This window comes from Homo sapiens, chromosome 7 (genome assembly GCF_000001405.40).
Source record: "Homo sapiens chromosome 7, GRCh38.p14 Primary Assembly".
NCBI classification, from domain to species: Eukaryota; Metazoa; Chordata; class Mammalia; order Primates; family Hominidae; genus Homo; species Homo sapiens.
The window spans coordinates 157934624-157957989 of record NC_000007.14 but is presented as its reverse complement, the minus strand read 5'-3'; the positions used below and the strand labels follow the sequence as shown (position 1 = coordinate 157957989).

The window sequence follows — 23366 nt, the reverse complement described above, 5'->3', positions numbered from 1 at the left end:
CGAAGATTTTTTGCATCAGTATTTATAAGGGATACTGGTTCTTAGTTTTGTTTGCTTGTAGTGTCTGTCTGGCTTTCGTGTCAGAGTAATGCTGGACTCACAGGATTAGTTAGAAATTGTTTCCTCTTCAATATTTTGGAAAAGTTTGAGGAGGAGTGGTGCTAATCCTTCTTTAAATGTTTGGTAAAATTTATCCATCAAACCAGTGACTGCAGGATTTTCTTTGGGAGGTTTTTGACTACGGTTTCAGTCTCCTTACTCACTCCTGGTGGGGTCGGTTTTCTAGTTCTTCATGACTCAGTCTCAGTAGGTTGCGTATTTCTAGGAATTTTCCCATTTCTTGTGTTATCCTGTTTGTAGGTGTGCAAATGCTCATCACACTCACTTATAATCCTTTTCACTTTGTACCATCAAATAATAATTATTAATAGTAATAGATAAATAAAAAGAATACAATAATACTATTTAAAAGTATTAATTGATGATTTATTTTGAATCTTGTATCTGTTGTGTGTACCATCAGTGTTTTTCTTAGGGATTATTTGGCCATAATGCTCTGATCGCATTTTGATTCCATGGATATGCTTCTCTTTAAACATCTCATCCTCTTACTGTACCCCTCCTTAATTTATGGAATTCACCCCCCCAGGGATTAATACTTAAGTCCTAGATGCCAAAAATACGTGTCTCCTAAGCTCACAGTTAGGATGCACTGTTGCTGTGGAGAGGGGATGGGGGTTGGTACAGGGTGCTGCAGATTCTGGGAAGTGCACATCAGATGAATTTGTGGGGACTTATAGTCACCTTGGGTGACTCTTGTCCCCTGCTCTAGAGTAACAGTGGGCTCTCAGGTGCAAGTGCTTGAGCTGTTTATTAACCCTTCTGAACCTCTCTGAGCCATGGAGGTCAAATGTATTTCCATTTCCCAAGTGGCCATTCGCTCATGTGGTTCTGATGTTGGGTAGGACCTTTCCTTCCCTTTTCCTTCTTACTCTCTAGGTGTCCACCATTCAAAACAGAATGGGCTCAGATGCAGGTTTTCATAGTGGCATGAGCCAGGCATTCTAGCAAGGTTGCAGATTTAAATGAACCCTTTACTTGGTGGCAATTGAAACAACTTCTTTTTGTAAATTCCAAACATGAATTAGTCACACAAATGAATTCCAACTCACAGGCTAAGAAACCAAAAGCAGTCAGGCCTTCTGTGTAACAGTTTATCCTCTGGGAAAGTGAGGTTCCCACCATGACCCCTGAAACTTGATTCCTCTGTGGGCCCTTGATTCTGGTGGCCATGCATGGATTGGACATTCCCTAGGGAGGAGGGCAGCCCTGTCTTGGCATCACTCTGTCAGTCCTTCCCCTGGGGAGCACTGGCAGCTCTGAACCAGCTGCTTTTGTTCACTGTGTGCAGGCTGATGCCCACGCAAGAAATAGCAACTGGTAGACCCAAAGAGGGCTAGGGATAGCCAGTCAATTGTTGAGTGCACATTGAGTCGAACAGATTCATTTGTGTCTGAGGATTTTTCAGCATTTCTTCAGCCAGGGACCCAGCCTCTTCTGGTAGAGTCACAGACTGGGACTGGCTCGCAGCCTTGTTTAGTCTAACTTAGGTAAAACCCTCTCGGTAGACACCTGTGTCCACACACCAAATGAACCCAGATGTGGACCGGAGCGATCACGGCTACAGCAGCAGCCCAGCCTCCCCCTCCAGATGTGCTCCACGTCTCTTGCTGTCTCCAACACGTCAGGGAGCCAACCCTGTGTCTTCTGCTCCCTCACAGCCCTGGGCATGCAGATAACACACTGTGAATGTTCTTACCTTAAACCAGCCGTCCCTAGGCTTTTCTCATCAAACAGCCATAAACAACAGTGTACTAAATGCCAGCACGTAGGAAGAATAAAATCTCATCCAAACACAAGAGAAACACATCCTAGTTTCAGCAGCACACGAATGGCCTGGGGCAGTGTCCCAGCAGCTGACATCCTGATGAGAAAACGCACCTGTCAGAATGTGCGGGTTTCTCCCTTGGTCTCCTGGGTTCCTTCCAACCTCTGACTCTCTTTAGAAATATGCAAAGGCTACGTATTATTGGAAATCGCACCAATTTGGGGGTTTTCTCAGATGCACTATTTGAGACTCTCCTGACCTCCACGTATGAAGACCCAGAGCTGGGTGCAAACTGTTCCACACCCCTGGGCTAATGAAGGGATGGGAATGCAGAGCCCAGGCAAACCCCGCAGGGTGTCCGCCCTAGCACCCTGCGGGGCTGAGCTGCGGTGCCGCCTTGCCCTCCTTGTCTTTCTCTTCTGAGCTGTGCCCTGCCACTTAAAACCACAATGGTTGGGAGTTGTCTGAAGAAGAGAGTTGATCCTGGAGAGCATTTCTTCAAATGCTTGGATAACCCTCCTGCTGTGTGCTGTCTGGAAGCAGACGCAGGTGCAGAATTGAGGAGTTGCTTCTCTCAGGGGATCTGTGATGGGCCTGCGGTGCTTTCCCAGGTTTTGCCTTCAGAGAAGTTGAAATGGCTTAAAAATTACTGGTAAGCCCTCCCCTGGCTGCTGATGAGACCTAGAAATAGCTCCCACCCAGGGGGATGTGAGCCCGGCTCAGCATTCTAGATAGGTCTCCCAGCTGCAAGGAATTCCATGCATCACAAACATGATGGTACCCTCCCCTGTGTTCCTTGGAATTGCTTTTCTCCACCAAATTACCTGTGATCCAGCACAAATATAGAGTATGTTTGGCAAAAAGAGGTAGCTTAATCAGCAGTGAAGAGATGTGCCTGGATAGAAAATTCGCAGCTACACCAAGCTGCTTTTTAGTGTGAGGCACAAATCCAGCATTCGTGTGTGCTGCTCCTGGTACCTGGGATGGCCGGTGGATCCGTCTTTCTGGACTGCATCTCCAGGGGGCTCCTTGGGGACGGTGAGAGGCACACTGGCCCAGCACCCTCCACCCCACCCGCTTCACTCCCACACTACCCAGAAACAAACTAGGAAGTGGCATTTTGTAAAAACAAAAAGATTGCCAGCAATTTCTAAATTTTTAAATTTTAAGTCTAGTATTTCGGTTTATTATTCTTTTAATTTATCTTAAAAAATAATTTTGCAGGAGTAAATAGAAATGATGACCAAAAAACATATGAGATACTTAAACACCTCACCTGATTTGGTTCTAAAGATACCAGAAAGAACTTCTGTGCTTTCCCTCCCAGGACACTCAACTGCATGGGAGAGGCCACCCCCACTTCCACCCCTGAAAAGGGGGTTTCTGGGGCTCGGCAGGGAGGCGGGGCCTCGCTCTGGGGTCTGGAGCTGTACTGCAGGCCTTAATATCACCCCGGCTGAGACCACTCCTCTCACACAGGCACCACAACCCACACCACACACACACACCACACACAGTACACAGGCACCACCCACATAGACACACATGCAGAGACTACACACACCACACAGCACACGTGCACCACACACACACACCACACACAGTACACAGGCACCACCCACATAGACACACATGCAGAGACTACACACACCACACAGCACACGTGCACCACACACACACCACACAGCACACACAGTACACAGGCACCACCCACATAGACACACATGCAGAGACTACACACACCACACAGCACACGTGCACCACACACACCACACAGCACACACACAGTACACGGGTACCACCCACATAGACACACATGCAGAGATTACACACACCACACAGCACACACAGTACACAGGCACCACCCACATGGACACACATGCAGAGACTACACACACCACACAGCACACATGTACCACACACACCACACAGCACACACAGTACACAGGCACCACCCACATGGACACACATACAGAGACTACACACACCACACAGCACACGTGCACCACACACACCACAGATCTAGGAATGCTTCTGGAACTTTCACTTTTTAGTCAGGAAACTGGAAGTGGCTCTGCCTGTTGCAGCCTCAGATACGAACCTGAACACCTGAAGCTCTTGGAACGGCCTTTCCAGAGAGTTCTGTGGAAGAGACTCTAACACACATGCATCTTCAAGCGTTTGTGCATTCCATGGTGAGGGAAAGGAGAGAATATTTAAACCAGCGATTTCTGCTTCGAAATGCGGATTTGCTTACATTTCTCCAGCACCGCTCTTATGCCCTCATTCCTTTCTCGGTCGCCCTCACCCTCAGGAGGGATCCTTTGGCCATGTATTCCACTCTTAACCCCAGCTTCCACCAGCTGCCCCGGGTCTGAGTCCTCAGACTTGGCCCTCCTGTCCCCCAACTGCTCTGATGATGCAGCTCTGAAAAAATGAGATGTCTGTGAGGGGTGAGGTGTCTCCTGTCCAGAGAGTGTCCAAGCAGGGCAGTGTCAGGATGTCATAGAAGTCTTTAGGGACACCGGACCTCCAGCCATGTGGATCCAGGTTGCAGGGCAGCACAGACAGCAGCCGGCAGCAAAGGCACCCGTGCCAGCAGCCTCATGGTGTGAAGAAGGTGGGCAGGTGGTGACGGGCACTCCGCTGTATCCTGGGAGGACACTCTCCATGCCACCCAGGCCGTTCCCTCTGTGCCCGGGGAGTGCCGCCAGCCCCTGCTCCTGAGTTCCCACTGTGCTCGGGGAGTGCTGCCAGCCCCTGCTCCCACGTCTCCATCCATCTGCCTCGTGCACTCCAGAGACACAGGCCCTAGGAAGGAGGCTTCTCACACCCGGCTCTCCTGTCCTTCCCGAAAGCTCATCACATATTGAACACGGAGCCCTCCCCAGAGCTGCTGGGGACTCTGTGCAAGCTGCACACGGGTACAGTCAACATGGTGCATGCACAGGACCCCCAGATGTCGCTGAGGACTTCTCGAGCCAGAGGGCTCACCCCGTGGGTCCGGTGGTTCCTGGCACTGGACGGCTCACCCTGTGGTCAGGTGGTTCCTGGCACTGGACAGCTCACCCTGTGGTCAGGTGGCTCCTGGAACTGGATAGCTCACCCTGTGGGCCAATGGAGGCCGTCCCCTTCACTGTGTGCATGGCTTTCTCCCACCTGCCGTGCTGACGTCTCGGTGATGGACATCTTCACGTCCTGGAGAGGGAAGTCTCTGTGATATGAAGTCTGCTGTACCCAGGGACACTGTGAATGTTTCCACCTGAAAGCAAGCAAGTGTGTTCAGAGCATTCGGTGGTCTGGGTTTGAGCATCACCTTTATTTCCCCTGGGGTTCCTGTCCCCTGGCAGGCAGGCCTGTGCACACCTACCCCCAAGTCTGAGGGAACCAAGAGGCCTGAGAAAGAGGCTGACAGACCCAGTTTCTCAGAAGGAAACATTTACTAGAGATACAGGAACAGAAGCCACACCTGTGTCTCCATGGCGTGAGATGAGATGATGGCTCCCTCACCCCTAGACCCACAGCTCTGCACCACAGGGGAGGGGCTGCTCAGGGAGCCAGCCTATCACCTACCCACGTTCCACCACGGAGTCAGCGTCTCCCTCCCCACCCTCGCCTGTCTCCCTGTGTCCCCCACCCCGTCTCAGGCATGCACACTACCCACCCTCGCCTGTCTCCCCCCGTGTCCCCCACCCCGTCTCAGGGATGCACACTACCCACCCTTGCCTGTCCCACCCTCGCCTGTCTCCCTTCGTGTCCCCCACCCTGTCTCAGGCGTGCACACTACCCCAGGTTCCTCCCACCCATCCCTGCACCGGGCACTCTTCCACTCTTCACTCCTCCTAAGTTGTCCTGCGGGGTTCGGCCCCATCGCCCGCGTCTGGCGAGGCTAGCTGCACATTCTGTGGGGGGCTCTGGGGGGCTCCCAGGGCCTGGACTCCCTGCCCAGCCCGAGAGGCTTCATGGTGCAGCCTTGACTCTTTTCTTGGGTGAGCCTGGCCTCCCCGCAGGGTGTGCAGAAACAGACACAGAACAAGGAGAGCAGGCACCTGGAGCTAGACTGTGAGCTTGGGAGGAAGATGGGCAGCGAACGCAGTGCGGGGCGCAGGCTGGAGACGTGAGGGGGCATCAGAGCAGCAGGATCAGCCGGCAGTTGTGGCAGGTGCAGCAGGAGTGAGTGGGCGCCCAGGCCAGACAGGCGGGGCCAATGAAGAGAGGGGGGCAGCCAGCCAGTCCCTGCCAACCATGGCTGACTCACTGGCATCCACTGCCGGACTCAGGCCCCACCTGATCAGAGGACAAACAAATCAGATGGAGCAGGGCCATGGTCAGGGAAGATGGTGGGAGGTGGATCCTGAGACGGTGTTGCAGTCCGGCAGGAGGGACGCACAGCAGCTAATGTCACTGGCAGTGCCTGAGGCCTGAAGACTGCGGAAGCGGAGGGACGTTAGCCCGTGATTCTGATCACGGGAACATCGTTTAGTAAGGCGTTTCCCTTTTCACCCGGTGTTGAGATGTTGATGCAGTGCACCTGTCCACTTTGCTGCAGTGGAAGGGGGGTCCCAGAGACCGTGATGGAGCCCCATGGGACCCTCCTGTTGACAGACTGTGAAGGCCTTAGTCCCTTCCTATGAGCATCAGCAGCGCCTCCGGGGACTGAAGGTGCCAATAGGGAAGATGGAAAGGGGTGTGTGCACCGGGCGCTGTTCCCAGGACACAGCCTGTCCAGTTCTCTTCGCTGTTCTTACACATCCCCAGTCATATGTTAATTGTTGTGAGTGTCCTTTTTTTTTAACCAAATAATCTTTGCAAGGAGTAAAATTCAAATTTTCTGAAGGTTTTGATTAAAAGAGCTTTTGCAGTAAAAGTTTCAGATAACAGATCATCCTTCTCTGAACCGTATTAGAGTGGATATTCATATGCGTTTCATCCTTGTCTCTGAGAGTGAGGCTGGTTGGTCAGGGGACGGCACCTGGGGCATGGGAGGGTTTCCTGGGTTGGGGTCCTGCCAGGAGTACGTGCTCTCAAGAGTAGGGTGTGGGCAGCAGGTAAGATAAAGCTGTGTTGGATGAAATCAAACTAAAACAAATGAAGGTCAACCAGCTGGGAATATTGCTAGTGAAGAACTAGCAAACTCAATGGAAACCTTCTTTAATTTTTATTTTGTTAATAATAGAGGAGCCACTCTCTTATAGGGAATGGCCACCCGCCATCACCATAGCTCATCTGCCCAACACATCTGCACCTGACTTCCGCGTCTGCACCTCACTTTCCTGGTTCAGTACACAGTACTTCATGCAAAGAGCCGTTTGCCAACATCACAGCTTCCAGCATCCGATATGGAAAGAAGGCGCTTTCACTCCACGCAGACCTTGCTTGTCTTTTCTGTAGAATAGTTGTAGAGGATAAGCCTGCTCCATGGGTGAGGCGGCTGCACAGCAATGGCAGATTTTGTTGTCACCACCAGAAGCAGAAATCACAAATAACAAAGGAATCTAGAGACGTCAGAGAAATGGGAGGTCATAGAGCAAAAATACCACCCAAATACCGACAAAAATAACCCATTACATATCTGAACATTTTAGAGCAGGACAAGACCAGCAGTGAGCATTTGACCCACCCAAATACCAACAAAAATAACCCATTACATATCTGAACATTTTAGAGCAGGACAGGACCAGCAGTGAGCATTCGACCCACCCAAATACCAACAAAAATAACCCATTATGCATCTGAACATTTTAGAGCAGGACGGGACCAGCAGTGAGCATTTGACCTGGCACAACCTCCGTTCACTCAGAAACGCCTGCGGGTTTGTATTTCCCACCAGGCGTTTGCTAGGTTTGGAATTTTCAAGGTGAGACAATTGGACCCTTTCCCTTACAGAGCTTTATGATCTCACAGGAAGATTAACATGCACACAGATACTGAACACACAAGAACAGTGTTTCCATTGAGATATACACACCATGTGGCATTAAATGTTTAATCTGTCATAACACAAACTTTAAAGTTTTATTTTAAATTTTTTTACCAAGATATTTTTTACAAGTTGGTGATGCACAAGCTAAATAAAAAGCATCTCAACCCAAGATCTCAGGACTGTGATTCAAGTACAACCTTTATAACTTTCCTGCCAACTTCAACTTAATGAGTCAGATAGTTGCAAGCTGGAGGCTTAAAGAAGCCTGAATTGTTTGAGGAGACCCTGAGGAGCCTCGGAACTTGCCCGGCCCCAGGAAGTGAATCATCAGTGCCTGGGAAACATCTGGAAATGGAACCCTGTTCGGCCCTCTCCAGTCACAGTGCTTAATCATTCATTTATTGATTTCAAATAAATTTACTGTTTGTGGAGCTATAGAGCAGGAGACTTTTATCAAGTAGGAGAGTCCCGTCTAGATAGTAAACAATTACCACTTGTTCCTAAGGGTCTTGGAATATGGGCCTGTATTAGTCCATTCGTATACTGCTATGAAGAAATACCTGAGACTGAGATGGCCTGGGCAGGCTGTCCTGCAGCAAGCATGGCATTGACTCAGCCGCCAGTGTCTGAGCCCCTCAATGATGTTCAACTCCATGCTTAGTGATGCCTTCAGTAAATATTTATTATTCCAGGCACTGTGCTGGGTAGCACAAAGAGGAATAAACTCCTGTCCATGTTCTCAACAATTTTATAATCTAGAGAGGCAAATAAATAGGGAATAGATGAATGAAACAAAACTAAATTGAGGGAGTCTTTTTAAAAAATTGAGATAAAATTAACATAGCATAAAATTAACCACTTAAAAATGAACAATTCAGTGGCACTTGGTACATTCACAACATTGTGCAACTGCCACCTGTATGTAACATTTTCACCATCCCAAAATGCATCATTTTACTTTCAACTTTGGATCCTACGTGAGTCCCTAACCGACAGCATATATCCCTTATCTTACATACAAAGTATACCTTATCTTAAATGCTTGGGACAGAGGTATTTCAGATTTTGGATCTTTTCAAATTTTGGAACATTTGTGGTCATCTCATATATGCAGATGATTGGTTCTAAGACACCCGCCCCCTGCAATGTGTACCAAAATTCACGCATACTCAAGTCTCAAAGTTGGCCCTGCAGAACCCACATTTATAAAAGTCAGCTCTCCGTATACATGGGTTTTGAATCCCACGAGTACTATATTTTCAATTCACATTTGGTTGAAAAAAATCTGCATATAAGTGGACCTGCATGATTCAAACACATCTTGTTTTAAGGCCAACCGGACTCACCAGTTGAGCTTCCATAATCCAAAAATATGAAATCCAAAATACTTCAATGGGCATTTATTTTGAACATCATGTAGGCACTCAAAAATTTTCAGATTTTGGAGCATTTTAGATTTTGGACTTTTGGATTAGGGATATTCAACCCGTAGTTGGTCATACTTTTAAAAATGTATTCTGTCAGTCTCTCTTTTAATTGGTGAGTTTGATCCCTTTTCATTTACAGTAATTTCTGTTAAGGAAGGATTTACTTCTGCCACTTTGCTGCTGGTTTCTGTATGTCTTACACCTTTTTTCCTCCTCAGTTCCTCAAATATTGCCTTTTTTTGTTTCTTTGATTTAATTTTTAGTGTACTGTTTTGATTCCCTTCTCATTTTCTTTTCCTGCACATTTCTTTTTGTTATTTTCTTAGTGGTTACCATGGGAATTACAATTAACACCCCACATTTATCACAATGTAGTTTGAATTTATACCAACTTAGCTTCAAAAGCACACAAAAACTGCTTCTGAATAGCTTCCTTCCCAGCTTTATGTTGTTATTGTCACAAATTATCTCTTCCTACATTGTATGCTGTTAACATAGATTTATAATTATTGTTTTATGCATTTGTCTTTTAAATCATATAGAAGACAAAAGGAGGAGATACAAACCAAAGCTACAATACTGGGTTTTATATTTACCTATGTAGTTAATTTTACTGAAGTTCTTTATTTTCTTGTATGGCTTCTGGTTACTGTTTAGAATTTCAGCCTCAATGACCTGCATTTCAGCCTGTCACCTTTAGCATTTCTTACAGAGCTTGTCTACTAGTGACAAACTCCCTCAGCTTTTGCTTCTAAGGGGATGTCTTAATTTTGGCTTCATTTTCAAAGGATAGTTTTGCCTGATACAGAATTATTGGTTGACAGTTATTTTTCTTTCAGCACATTAAATACATCATCCCACTGCCTTCAGGCCTCCATGGTTTCTGGTGAAAAACTGCTGTTGATCTTATTGACGATCTCAAGTACAAGATGAATTGCCTCTCTCTTGCTGCTTTCAAATTTCTGTCTTTGGCTTTTGATGGTTTGATGATAATATGTCAGCATGGATCTCTTTGAATCAATTCTACTTGGAGTTAGTTGAGCTTCTTGGATATGTATATTCATGTCTTTCATCAAATTTGGGATAGTATTGGTCAGTATAACTCTATACATGATTTCGTCAGCTTCCTCCTGGAAAGCCAGTCTCGCCCAAAGGTGCTAAAACAGGGTTCCTCTTTGCACTGGTTTCTCAAGGAACCACCAGACAGCTCAAAACACACAGCCACAGTTTTTTGAAAACAAGATCCATACTGCCCCCTGGTACCACCACATCTCACCAGGAACTTAGGCCACCAATCCTGTAGCTGCTGTTGAACTGGGGAATGGGGAATAATAGGTGGGCAAGCAAAAACCACAGAATGTCTTTTAACCAAAATTTAGCATTCTCTTTCTCAATTTAGCACCCCCTGGTTACTGCTGATTTTTAAAATTAGACTACAGAATCCCAGAACAGTCACTTCTGTCCATTTTTGTCAGCTTACTTGTTACTTCAGTGGAGGGACAGATCCTTGGAGCCACCTGCTCTGTGATTTCCATGTCACTACTCGACCTGATGGAGTCTTTGGCCCACTTGGAAGAAGTACCCCTTTGACAGACCTTTTCGCATCCTGCCCACATCCCAGTTGCCCACCCTGTGCCTCCCTTCAGCTCTGCAGGGCAGCTCCCATCTATGCTGATGGCTCCAGCCTTAAGCACCTGCCTTGGTCTGTCTGAGCTAAGCAGCACACTAGCCCACACCCAGGGCAGGCCAGGGCTGCTCAGGAGTTCACCTCTTCAGAGAGCAAGGGATGGGAGTCAATGGATAGAGACCCCTGATTCTTTGACCCTCAGACGATTCAAGGCACATCCCACATGCCTCTCAGAGGGTCTCCGGCAGTGTCGGGCCCCGGCCGTCCACACTGGTGGTTTGTGCATGTACTTCATGGCTTCCGCCCTTCTCAGGCTTACTGTCCCGTTCTCTCACTTGGCTTCTGGGATCATCCTCCAAATAAATTACTTGTACCCACATCCTTACTGCAGGATGTGATTTTGTGGACAAAAGTAACCTCTGCCTTAATTCTTCAAAGTGTTGAATCCCACAGTGGTGACACCATCCCTGTGGCTGCTGGCCTAACTGATGTAAATGGCTCAGTCCACAGGGCCCTTACACAGATGGCCCAGGCAGCCGGTGGAGGATCATCCTGTTCCTGCAAGCTTACGTGCCCTCAGGAGCTGCTGTGGGCCTTCACATCTGGGCTGCATGCTGATAACAAAGCCTCTCACTTGTTTCCAGATGCATCAACATGGTGACATGCAGAGTCTTTATTTTGGGACAAAAATAGGCATCCATGAAATGGTGTGAACAAATAACTATTCTTGGCCTCAGTGATTTCATTCAGTGCATAAACAGTATTTTTCCTGCTGAATTTCCAGGATTGAGGAAACTCTTGTCTCTCAGGACCAGCTGGATTTTACTTTTTTTTTTTTAGTGTCTTCTCAAACGCAGAAAGAGCTACAAAACTCCCATGAGGCATGGGCCAGCTGAAGAGGCTTCAGACAGTTGCTTTGGTTGTTTCACAAGACTAGAAAAGTGTGGTTGCTTCTTGCCTCCAGACCGTATTATCCTGCCTCACCATCAGCTGTTTCTGCCACCTCAAGACAAGAGGCAAAGTGGGAAAGAGAAGTTTGAAACCAGGAGCTTCTAAGTTTGCCTGAGTCTTCAAGGGCCAGATTAGGAATCTTTAGCCACCAGGCTCACACTGTCGGAACTGAGAGGTGGGACAGCTGAACAGAAAGGCAGAATCTTCCAGAACCTGGACTGGGCCCAGCAAGCAGGGTAGGGATGTCCAGGAAGGGGGAAGGCACCCAGCTTGGCTCCTGAGAATGCCCCAGCTGTTGGTGACCCGTCGTCTGATGGGACAACTGAAGCCAGGAAGTGGTGTGGCTGGACTTGCTCTTTAGGAAGCAGACTTTGTGGAGGTGGGAAGGCGGCATTGTCCAAGCTGGAGGCGGCATTGTCCAAGCTGGAGGTGGCATTGTCCAAGCTGGAGGTGGCATCATCCAAGTTGGAGGTGACATCGTCCAAGCTGGAGGCGGCATCGTCCAAGCTGGAGGCGGCATCGTCTGACTTGGAGGCGGCATCGTCCAAGCTGGAGGCGCCATTGTCTGAGGTGGAGGCGACATTGTCCAAGTTGGAGGTGGCATTGTTCGAGTTGGAGGCGCCATTGTCCGAGTTGGAGACGGCTTTGTCTGAGTTGGGAACGGCAGGTTCAGGGGCCAGGTCACTGAGCGGGAGAAGAGTGAATGGGTTGGAGAAACATCCACGGGGAAAGATACATTGATTTGTCAGACGCCAGGATGGAGGAGCAGTAGGATGGAAGGGCCTTCAGAGGCAGGCGGGGGGTCTTCGGGACACACGGGGTCAGTGTGCCCATGGGGGTTGGCCGGGAGCAGCTAGCAGGCGGAGGCTGTGAGTCTGGAAGGAGAACCCAGTGCAGGTGGGGATGTGGCTGCTGCGAATGGGTGGGGTTGAAACCATGAGGGCTCATGAGGTCACTCTGGCAGGAGGTGCCTGGGGAGGGAGGAGTCAGCCCTGAACACCCAGCACTGGGGCCTCCGCATCCCTGCACGGATCCCTGCTCTGTCTCTGACCTCTCACCGTGTTCCTCCCACACTAAACACATCTCCATCTCACACAGGGGCTGGTCCGAGGCCTGACTCGGTGAGAGCAGGAAAATGGGTAGAGAGGCAGAGTGCTCCAGCTGGAGCAGATGAGCGATCATGGTGGGGTCACAGCACTGGGAGCTGCACAGGCTCCATTCGGCACGGTGTTTATTTCAGAGTCTCTGTTTACTGTATAAATACTAGGCAGGATTCAGGAGTTGTGGACTGTGGACTGTGTAGTCTGTGTTGTAGACAATGCCTGCCCCCCAAGAAGCATGCTGCTTCCCAGCTGATGAGCAAGGGCAGAGCTGGCCAGGTGCGGCTGCCTGTCCCAACAGCCCCTTGGCTTAGAGAAGAGAGGGGCACAGCTCTCATCCATGCACGTGGACCTGCTGGACAGTGGTCACTGGCCTGGTGACTAAAAACAACTCCCTTCTCAGGACTTTTGCCTCTATTTTGGTGTTCCAGCCTCTGTGGACATAGTTTGACCCTCTTAAGACTATTTCTAATCAACATGTCTAGGGATGCTTCTGATTTAAATGTTATGCTTTCAAACAATTATTATATTTGCAGCAGTGCGGATGCTTGCAGGAAGCTTTTTCCATGAAACTTTTTTAAAAAGAAGAATTTTCCAATAGATCCTTTTCTCACAAACTTAGGTTTCTCTCGATAAACACATATTTGTGCCACTTAACACATTAATTCAAATGAATTGCTCTACCCTGCATTGTATTGATTCCAAGGTTCAGTCAGTGGTGGGAGTGGTACCGCCCCCGCTTGGGTGGTGGGCTCCACTGACCGAGACTGCTGGGCCGTGTGTTGGTTAAGCTGGACATGACCGTGGGGGCAGGCTGGCGTTCGCGACGAACCATGCTCAATCTTTGTCAAATGCCGTTAGAATCCTTTTCTGTGGCAAGGAAAGAGAGTTCCGCCTTCCTTCCCTGTGAAGGTGTTTGCTGCATGAAGGCCGGGCATCTGGAGCCTGTCCTGGGCTCGGAGTGTCTGTAATTGAAGTGATAGCAGCTTTTGATACTTACTGGAAATGTCAAATGAAGCCCAGTGCTCCCTTAGAAACATTGGTTTAAAACCCTTACAACGTGGAGAAAAGTGGCAGAGGAAGAACAAGATTGTCTGAATGGATTTAGTTAAAAACACATAAAAAGATGAACTACCAGAAAAATAATAGGGAGTCAAAACAGATACAAAAACACTAAAAGGGGATGGTGTAGTGATCAACTTGACCCTTAGACACCTGCGGCCTCTGTGAACTTCCATCTTCCTGAAAGGAGACAGGAGCTTGACCCAGGGAGGCTGAGCCGGGCCTTCCATGGAATGGCACTTCCTCAGCAGAGGAGGCGGGGGCTTCGGTGTCCTAGAGGGGCCTTGGCGTCAGGGTAGGGAGCGCTTGGCCTCTGGGAGCTTTGGCATCTGGGGAGGACTTCAGTATCCTGGGGGTGGGGGGCTTCCTTGGCATCTTGGGAGGGGGTTTCAGCATTTGTGGAGGACTCAGTCTGGGGATCCTCCATGTTGAGGGAGTCTGGGCATCTGGGGTGGGTGTCTTGGTGTCCAGGGCCTCCTCGGAACCAACAGGTCCAGGAGCAGGGATGGGGCGGAGGTGGGGGCTGAAGCTGGTGCTGTGCTGAGCCAGCAGATGCTTCCTGTGGAGACATTGTTGGATTTCAAGGGCAGGAAGTGATTCTGTTGGCTGTCACTGAATTTAAAGGGTGTAGCCTTTGTCTAAGTCGGCCATTCAGAAAGGACCGTCTGGGGCATGGGAGGGGGCATGGGAAGTCCCTGAGACCCTCTGGGGGTCCGCAGAGTAAGACATTTTCCTAGCAAAGCCCCAAAGTTCTTTGCCTGTTTATCCTCTGGTGAGATTCTGCATCGCTTCCCCAGGCTGTGAGATGTGCGAGGATGCGGCTTCGAGGCTAGTGGAATGTGTGTTGTGTGTTCTTGGGTCTCGAGAACTCCTCCTTTGAATTTTGGAGCAGTGAATAGTGGTAGCTACAGTTATGAATGCAAAGGCTTCCTGGGGCCAAATTTTTAAGCCTGAAGATGCTGGGAGCACCAGGCCCGGCCCTCCTGCTGTGCACACCTGCTGCCCATCACAGAGCTCGGCTCTTGCAGATCCTCGTCAAGTGAGGGCATGGAAATGCCAGGGATGGGAGACGGTGTGTTTGACTTTGGGAGTGAAGCATGGAGACCCAGGGCCCAGTTAGGCCACAGTGATTCAGGCTACGCAGATGAAGGTGGCTGGGGTGGCACCAGTGGGAATGAAAAGGAAGGACAAGGTTGAGCCCCTGCCACTGCCTGTCATCAGAGATGGCAGGAGGATGACTGATAACCAAGCCCTCCTTCCTAGAAAAGGTGGGGGCAGTTCTCCGTGAGCACAGGGTTGTGGGGGTGTGATCTGGGGAAAGACAGTGAGGGACTGGGAGGGGATACACATCATTTTTAGACACTTGCGATGTACAGGTGAACGCGGAGAAGTTGGGGTCTGGAGCTGGTGGAGTCATATTCCACCAGCTCCCAGTCTCAATGAGAGGATTCTCTGATCATCGCTCCTGCTTGACATCTGAAAAAGAACTCATTTGCATACTTCCCAAGAGTATTACCCCAGCAGCATTTTGTGTCTGTAAAGATATAAACATTCTGTGGGAGCATTTTCAGGACATTCGCTGAGGCTGCCTGACTCCCCACACCAACACCTGCTGTGCAGTCAGAAGTCACAGTGAGGTGACACGCAGCCCTCAGATGCGGGAGCAAAACTAGGGTGAAGGCTGAGGACCCCACCGTGGGCTCTGAGCTGGGAGCGGCCAGGGGCCAGGTGCTGCTTTTGTGGTGCCTCAAGATCACCTCCTCTGGAAAGGCGTGCCGAGGACTCCCGTGTGTGGAGGGTGGGCCGAGGACCCCTGTGTGTGGAGGGTGGGCCGAGGACCCCTGTGTGTGGAGGGTGGGCCGAGGACCCCTGTGCGTGTGGAAGGCATGCTGAGGACCCTCGTGTGTGGAGGGTAGGCCAAGGACTCCCATGAGTGAAGGTGCACTGCAGACCCCCATGTGTGGAGGGTGGGCCGAGGACCCCCGTGTGCGAAGGTGTGCTAAGGACCCCCATATTTGAAGGTGTGCTGGGGACCCCCGTGTGTGGAGGGTGTGCCGTGGACCCCTGTGTGTTGCTGCAGGGGACCAACCACTTAGCAAAAGTCCTGCAGAGAGCGCTGTGTCCTGTGAGGAGATGGGCACTCAGCCTGGCCACACAGTGAGGCTTGAGCATGGAGATTAGGTGGTGAAGGTGGGCAGAGGCCTCTGGGAGGGCTATTGGGAGGGAGACCTTGGCAGCAGCTGGCCACATGCTGACCCCACTCCATGCAGAGCCCAGCATAGGGAGTGTGGCTGGCTCTGGGAGACCTGCACTTTCAGGATGGTCCTAGCCCTGATAAAAATTACAGAGATCTTTTATACACATGCATGGACGTATGTCCCTGCACAGATGGCCAGGAGCCCCTCTCTGCTAACTCTTACACAGTGGCTTGCTGTGGCTGCTCTGGTTTCAAGTACCCAGAGACCTGGGTCTACTGAAGAATCGCTTGCAGTGTCATGGGGGAGGGAGTTAGATTTGCAGTGTCACGGAGGGGGGAGGGGGTTATATTTGCAGTGTCATGGTGGGGAGGATGTTAGATTTGCAGTGTCATGGGGGAGGGTGTTAGATTTGCAGTGTCATGATTGAGAGGGTGTTAGATTTGCAGTGTCACAGGGGAGGGTGTCAGATTTGCAGTGTCGTGGTGGGGAGGGTGTTAGATTTGCAGTGTCACAGGGGAGAGTGTTAGATTTGCAGTGTCGTGGTGGGGAGGGTGTTAGATTTGCAGTGTCATGGTGGGGAGGGTGTTAGATTTGCAGTGTCATGGGGGAGAGTGTTAGATTTGCAGTGTCGTGGTGGGGAGGGTGTTAGATTTGCAGTGTCGTGGTGGGGAGGGTGTTAGATTTGCAGTGTCACGGGGGAGGGTGTTAGATTTGCAGTGTCACGGGGGAGGGTGTTAGATTTGCAGTGTCACGGGGGAGAGTGTTAGATTTGCAGTGTCGTGGTGGGGAGGGTGTTAGATTTGCAGTGTCACGGGGGAGAGTGTTAGATTTGCAGTGTCACGGGGGAGAGTGTTAGATTTGCAGTGTCGTGGTGGGGAGGGTGTTAGATTTGCAGTGTCACGGGGGGGTGTTAGATTTGCAGTGTCATGGGGGGGCGTTAGATTTGCAGTGTTGTGGGGGAGAGTGTTAGATTTGCAGTGTCACTGTGGGGAGGGCATTAGATTTGCAGTGTCATGGGGGAGGGTGTTTGATTTGCAGTGTCATGGTGGGGAGGGTGTCAGATTTGCAGTGTCATGGGGCAGGGCGTTAGATTTGCAGTGTCACGGGGGGGCGTTAGATTTGCAGTGTCTTCGGGGAGAGTGTTAGATTTGCAGTGTCACGGTGGGGAGGGTGTTAGATTTGCAGTGTCACAGGTGAGGGTGATAGATTTGCAGTGTCACTGGGGAGGGTGTTAGATTTGCAGTGTCACAGGGGAGGGCGTTAGATTTGCAGTGTCACAGGGGAGGGTATGAGATTTGCAGTGTCAAGGGGGAGGGTGTTAGATTTGCAGTGTCACAGGAGAGGGCATTAGATTTGCAGTGTCACAGGGGAGGGCATTAGATTTCTGTAACAGTGAGAATTTCTAGGCTTCTTCATTTCTTAATTTCAGTATTTCAATGTCACAGAGTCAACTGTTTATAACTTTGCCTCTTGATGGCACAAAAAAGAGTTTGCTTTGAAAGTAAGGAGCACAGACCTTATAAAATTTAATAATAACACTAGGAAGGGGAGAGAAAAGAATCTGCACTGAGGCTTCAGAAAGGAGCCGGGGCTGAGTTATAACCAAGTTCTGAACACCACCATCGCTGACAGACCACTAGATGGGAACTCTGAGGATGATGCCCAGAAGGAAATGTGCAGAGAACATGTCCCTCAGGACCTGGACTGGAACTCTTGACAGGGGCTCATGGTCATACCAACGGGGGCCTCTCTGCTCTCAACTGCCCATGCAGCGACGCCTTCCTCCACTCAGGTCCTCCCTGCTCTCTGCTGCCCATGCGGCGACACCTTCCAGGACCTGGGTACTCCCTGCTCTTCCCCGCCTGTGCAGTGATACCTTCCTGGACCTGCTTAGTTCATTCAGGAAGCATTGCCTCCACTCTGCTCTGTGCTGAGGTCTCACAGGCCAGAGACCTGTGGCATTTGTAGACACATACGTAGCAACCTTCTCCTTCTCGGGTGCCCAGTACCCAGCCAAATGCACCTATCCAAGGGCCTAGCAAAACCAACTGCTAGGCAAACACATCTTAAAAGCCCTGGTATTAACACAGGTTGTAAGATATGCCAGAGGGAAGCTGGACTGAGGAGTTCTGAGGCCAACTCTGTCTGTCTGGTGCTGAGTTTCAGTAGACACTGGACGATGGGGTTGAGGCCTCAGGGCCTCACCTTTGCTAACCCAACATTATGGGTTTTGGCAAATTAGGTTCATATGCAGATGATGGCCCCACTGGGGATGTGGCTGTGTCCACAGGGTGAATCCTGGCACTTGGTGAGCTCCACCCACAACACACAGCACTGAGAGTGACCTGGTCTGCAGATGGCTGTCCAGCTCTCCTCTCCTGCAGCCAGAGGCCTGGTCTCTAGAGCAGCTCTGTTCTAGCACTTTCTGTGGCAACAGAATGGCCCACATGTGTGCTGTCCTGCAGGACAGCCACCAGCCCCTGTGGCCGCTCAGTGATGGAAACCTTGCTAGTGAGACAGGAGACCTGCGTGCTTTATTTTATCTTATTGTAATTCAGAATTTGGATACTGGAAACCTCGCTATTGAGGTGGGGACCTGCGTGCTTTACTTAACTTTATCTGACTGTAATTCAGAATTTGCGTGCTGGAAACCTTGCTATTGAGGTGGGGACCTGCGTGCTTTGCTTTACTGTATCTGACTGTAATTCGGAATTTGGGTGCTGGAAACCTTGCTGTTGAGGTGGGGACCTGCATGCTTTACTTTACTTTATCTGACTGTAATTCGGAATTTGGGTGTGAGTTGATGTGGCTGCCACCATGCACAAGGCACTGCAGGGGCTCGTAGCCCGTGTGGATCATGGACAAGAAGTTTGCTCTGATGCTCCCAAAGAGCCCCACTCCTTACTTCAGCACTGATATGAGCATCTTGACACCGGCAGGTTGTTTTCTGTGGGCCACTCCGGTAGATTTAAAACCCTCCCTTTTACTGCCAGGGTTGGATCATCCTACATAAGCACCAACACCCCAAAGGGTGGTTCTTTTTACTCAAAAACAATCATGCTTAGTGTACTACAAGGACAATGTATCTTTGATATTAAAGAGAATTTTTGGAAAAGAGCTTCCTCAAATCTCATCAGTTTAATGCAACTTAAACACGTCACATTTAATTTGTCTATGTGGTAAGACTAATAGTAAAAATTGAGGTCTTCAGTGCAAAGCAGATCTGGGTTCACATCTTGCCTTTGGGTGTTGTTGTGTGACCCTGAGCAGACAGGCAGCCTCCCTGGGCCTCTCCTTCCCATCTGCAGAGGGTGGGCAGTGGTCTGCACGTGGCATGGCTGGGCCTGCAGGTCTGCTTATAGTGTCTACCCCTCACATCCGGCCCTCTCCTGTGTCCCTGCTGAGCAGCAGCTCAAGAACCTTTCAGCAGGATCCCCAGGGCAGAAGCAGGTGCCTCTGAGAGCTGGCAGGGATGACACTGCAGGCATGTGCAGCTGTCCCATGGCTGACGCTCCTGTGCGATGTCTCCCCTGCATCTCCACTGCAGTTCAGATGTAATTTCCAACCAGTGGGTGCTGCAGTTTTTCTGAGACAGCCAACTATTCAAAGCAAAGGAAACCTTTCATAAAGTGTAATCTGTGCGTGCATTTGGCAGCACCATGCGGGGGGCCCACTTCGAGGTGACCTCCTCTCACCAGAGCACTGTGCCCTGCAGTGGGTGGCTCTTAGCTTTGAACAGCCGGGGTTCACATTGTGCAGAAAAACATACTTAGATGGCCCCACCATGCACTCTGCTTCAGATCTGAGTGGCTCCGCATGCCACATTGCTTCTAATTTCCAGCTTGACATTGTCAAAGGAAAATAAAACAACAGAGAGAGAGATGGGGAACATGTCACATAGTCACGAAGATTCCCATCACAGGGGTTGCAAATGGTGCTACTGAACAGACTGTCCTGGGGCTCACGTCACTAGGCACAAGGGGATGGGTGACGAGCAGATTGCAGATACGCAGGACTGTTCAGACAGACTCTGTGGTGTCTTTGTAAATATGAATCCATTCATCCTTTTCTAGCTCTTTAGGCCAACAGGCAGTTGGCCTTTCCAGGCCCCGGCTCAAGCCAAAACTCAGAGAGGCCGCACCCGCTCTCAGCAGCTGGTGAGAGTCCGGGGCAGAACCTTTGCACTGAAGAGCCCCTGCCTGGCTTTTTAAGCGGCTTCTCCTGGGTGGGAAAGGTGGAGCGGCCGCACTCGGGAGCGCTATTGTGAGAGACATGAAGCCACACCGCACACGGCTTTATTCTCTCATCCGATGCTGAGTGTCTTCTCTGTGCCTGACAACAGCGGCTTAGTAGTAGCTGATGCGATCTGCTCCAGACATCAAGGGCTTGCCTATTCCCGCACCTTTCATTTCTTCAGTGAATTGCTCCAGTCCCCACGTGCTCAGTTAGACGGAAATTCTGTATCCACCTTCAAAACCTTCCTCTTCCTTTCCCCAGCACAGCTTACTTTGGGTAAATAAGCAAAAGCTGTTTTTCTAGGTGGTCCAGCCCCGTGTGGACCTTTACTCACCTATGTGTGCCAGCTGCAAGTTCACGTGGTCACTCGGGCTAAGGACCCACCACAGCCATGCTCACGGCAAGTTCCAGGTGCCCAGATGCAGAAGGAGCATAAAGATATTGTCAGACCCACGGTGTTCAGGGGTCCGGAGGGCTTCCCAGAGAAGGTGGCCCAGGCCAAGTCTGGGAGATGAAGAGAAATTGCCCCAGTGAAGGGGGTTGACATGCGGGTGAGAGGGGCAGGCAGAAAGACATTCTACAAGAGAAAAAATACTTTTTACAGAATATTGCAGAAAGAATACTTTTTACAGATGAGAAAGAGGCTATGTTTAGGAAAATTCCCATGACTGGCCATGGCGGAAAGACAGGGGAGAGGTGGGAAAATGGCATGAATGACCGAAAGGATGGCCTCATACACTCCCTGCGAACTTGAAAATTCTCCAGAGGGCATGAGGAGCCTCTGAAGAGCTTTGCACAGGGCTGCACATGTGTTCAGACCTGCACTGTAGAACCCCACCCTGGCTTCCGAGTGGAGGAGACACGGGAGGTGTCAGACCTGCACTGTAGACCCCCACCCTGGCTTCCGAGTGGAAGAGACACGGGAGGTGTCAGACCTGCACTGTAGAACCCCACCCTGGCTTCCGAGTGGAGGAGACACGGGAGGTGTCCGACCTGCACTGTAGACCCCCACCCTGGCTTCCGAGTGGAGGAGACACTAGAAGTGAGATTGAGTGGTGCTCGGGAGAACAGGGAGAGGTGGTGGGAATCCAGGAGACAGAGGTGCCTCCGTGGAAGAGAAACAGGTGGGGTGGCCAGAGAGCTACAGGGAGGATGCTCGCGGGGCCTGGTGGAGTGAGGGACACAGGCAGAGGGGAGGAATGAGCCCAGTAGAGTCTGGTTTGGGATGTCGTGTGAACGTGACAGGGGCACAGAGCCCATAATCGATAGCATCTCGTCACCTCAAGAAAGCAGAGAGCTTCGGCTCAGTCAGTCTCAGTCTTCTCTAACTAGTTGAGGCAAAATCAATTCAGACCTCCAGTGGCAGCAGTGAAGCTCAGTGAGAAAAAATTCAAGCATCTTGTACTAGAGAACCATGGCAGGGAGGGAAAGTGGGGAGAATGTGTCTGCATTTGCTGTAGTCATACACCTACGATCGGTTCACTTTCGGATTGCGAAGCACACAGGACAGAATGGCGTTGCTGCACCATGAGGATGGCTAGACCCCCCTGAGGGAGCGACACAGATGCTGAAGATGTCTAAACCCCCCCTGAGGGAGCGACACAGATGCTGAGGATGGCTAGACACCCCTGAGGGAGCGACACAGATGCTGAGGATGGCTAGACCCCCCTGAGGGAGCGACACAGATGCTGAGGATGGCTAGACCCCCCTGAGGGAGCGACACAGATGCTGAGGATGGCTAGACCCCCCTGAGGGAGTGACACAGATGCTGAGGATGGCTAGACCCCCCTGAGGGAGTGACACAGATGCCGATGCCTCCCAGGGAGCTCCAATTTTAAAAGCAAGGAGTGGACTGTCACCAGGTTCCTGTGATGTACCCGCCAATGTTCATCTTGCAGTCCAAAATTGCTAAACATGTTAAGAAACAGGACATTAGGACCCATAAAGAAGAGAAAAGAAAGTCCCAATGATACAGACACTGAAATCAACCAGACAAGGACTTAACAACAATTCCAGATCTGTTCAAGAACGTAAAGGGAAAGACGGAGAAGAGGGGACACGTGGGAACCTCAGCAGAAAGATGGAGGCCGTGCAGAAGAACCACGTGTAGATTTTAGAAAGGAGAGCTTGTAAGATGGGAAATTCACTGCATGGGCTTTACAGCGGATCAGAGACTGCAGAAGAATGAATTGGCAAACTTGGAACAGATGCACAGAAATGATCGCATCTGAAGGACAGAGAAAAATGCCAGAAACAAAAAAGAGCCCAGGTGGCCTCTAGGACAAAGTCAAGTGGTCTGACCCACGTGACAGTTCCAGAAGATGAGCCAAGAAAGGTGGGACACAAAAAAAGAAGAATTAATATTCAAAACCAGCAACCCTACCCACCCTCCACCTGGTGAAAAAGAAGAAGCTCAGAGAACCCCAAGCAAGTTAAGTGCAAAGAAAATTAACATAAGCACATTTGTAGTCAAATTGCTAAAATACCAAAGATAGAAAATCTTAACAGCTGGGAGGAGAGACGTTACATTCCCAGGAGCAATGATATGCATGAGGACTGACTTCATTCTTCACTAGAAACAGCAGAAACCAGGAGACAATTTGACAACTCTTTAAGGTTCTGCAAGGGAGAAAACAAAAGCCCAGAGTTCTATCTCCAGCAAAAACATGTTTCAGCATAAGGGTGAAAGAAACCTGCTTTCGTGCCAGCCCATCCCGAGAGAATCTGCCATGTTAGACCTGCACTGTACAAAATGCTGCGGACCTCTTCTGACTGATGGGAAATCACAGCAGTTGGAGACCCAGGTCCACAGGAAGGATGAAGAACCCAAGAAATGGCAGCAGACTGAGAGCTTCTGGAGGAAGTGAGACAGCCCTGCAGGCTCTGGGAAGCAGGAGGTCCAAGGCCGGATGCTTTGCTCATCATCGCCAAGTGAAGAGTCCCTGTGGCAGAGC

General features: G+C 50.1%; 1 protein-coding gene across 10 annotated transcripts in view, besides 1 other annotated feature; it reads left to right on the top strand.

The window, feature by feature from the left end:
• Positions 1-23366, top strand: part of PTPRN2 (protein tyrosine phosphatase receptor type N2) — a 1048768-nt gene that overhangs the window by 629834 nt on the left and 395568 nt on the right. The gene's annotated exons all lie outside the window — the stretch shown is intronic.
• Positions 1901-2509: an enhancer, noted in NCBI's record as "OCT4-NANOG-H3K4me1 hESC enhancer chr7:157748173-157748781 (GRCh37/hg19 assembly coordinates)". NCBI's record gives its function as "activates a minimal SCP1, AML or CMV promoter by ChIP-STARR-seq in naive H9 embryonic stem cells {active_cell/tissue: H9 hESC(naive)}" and the evidence as "EXISTENCE:reporter gene assay evidence [ECO:0000049][PMID:30033119]".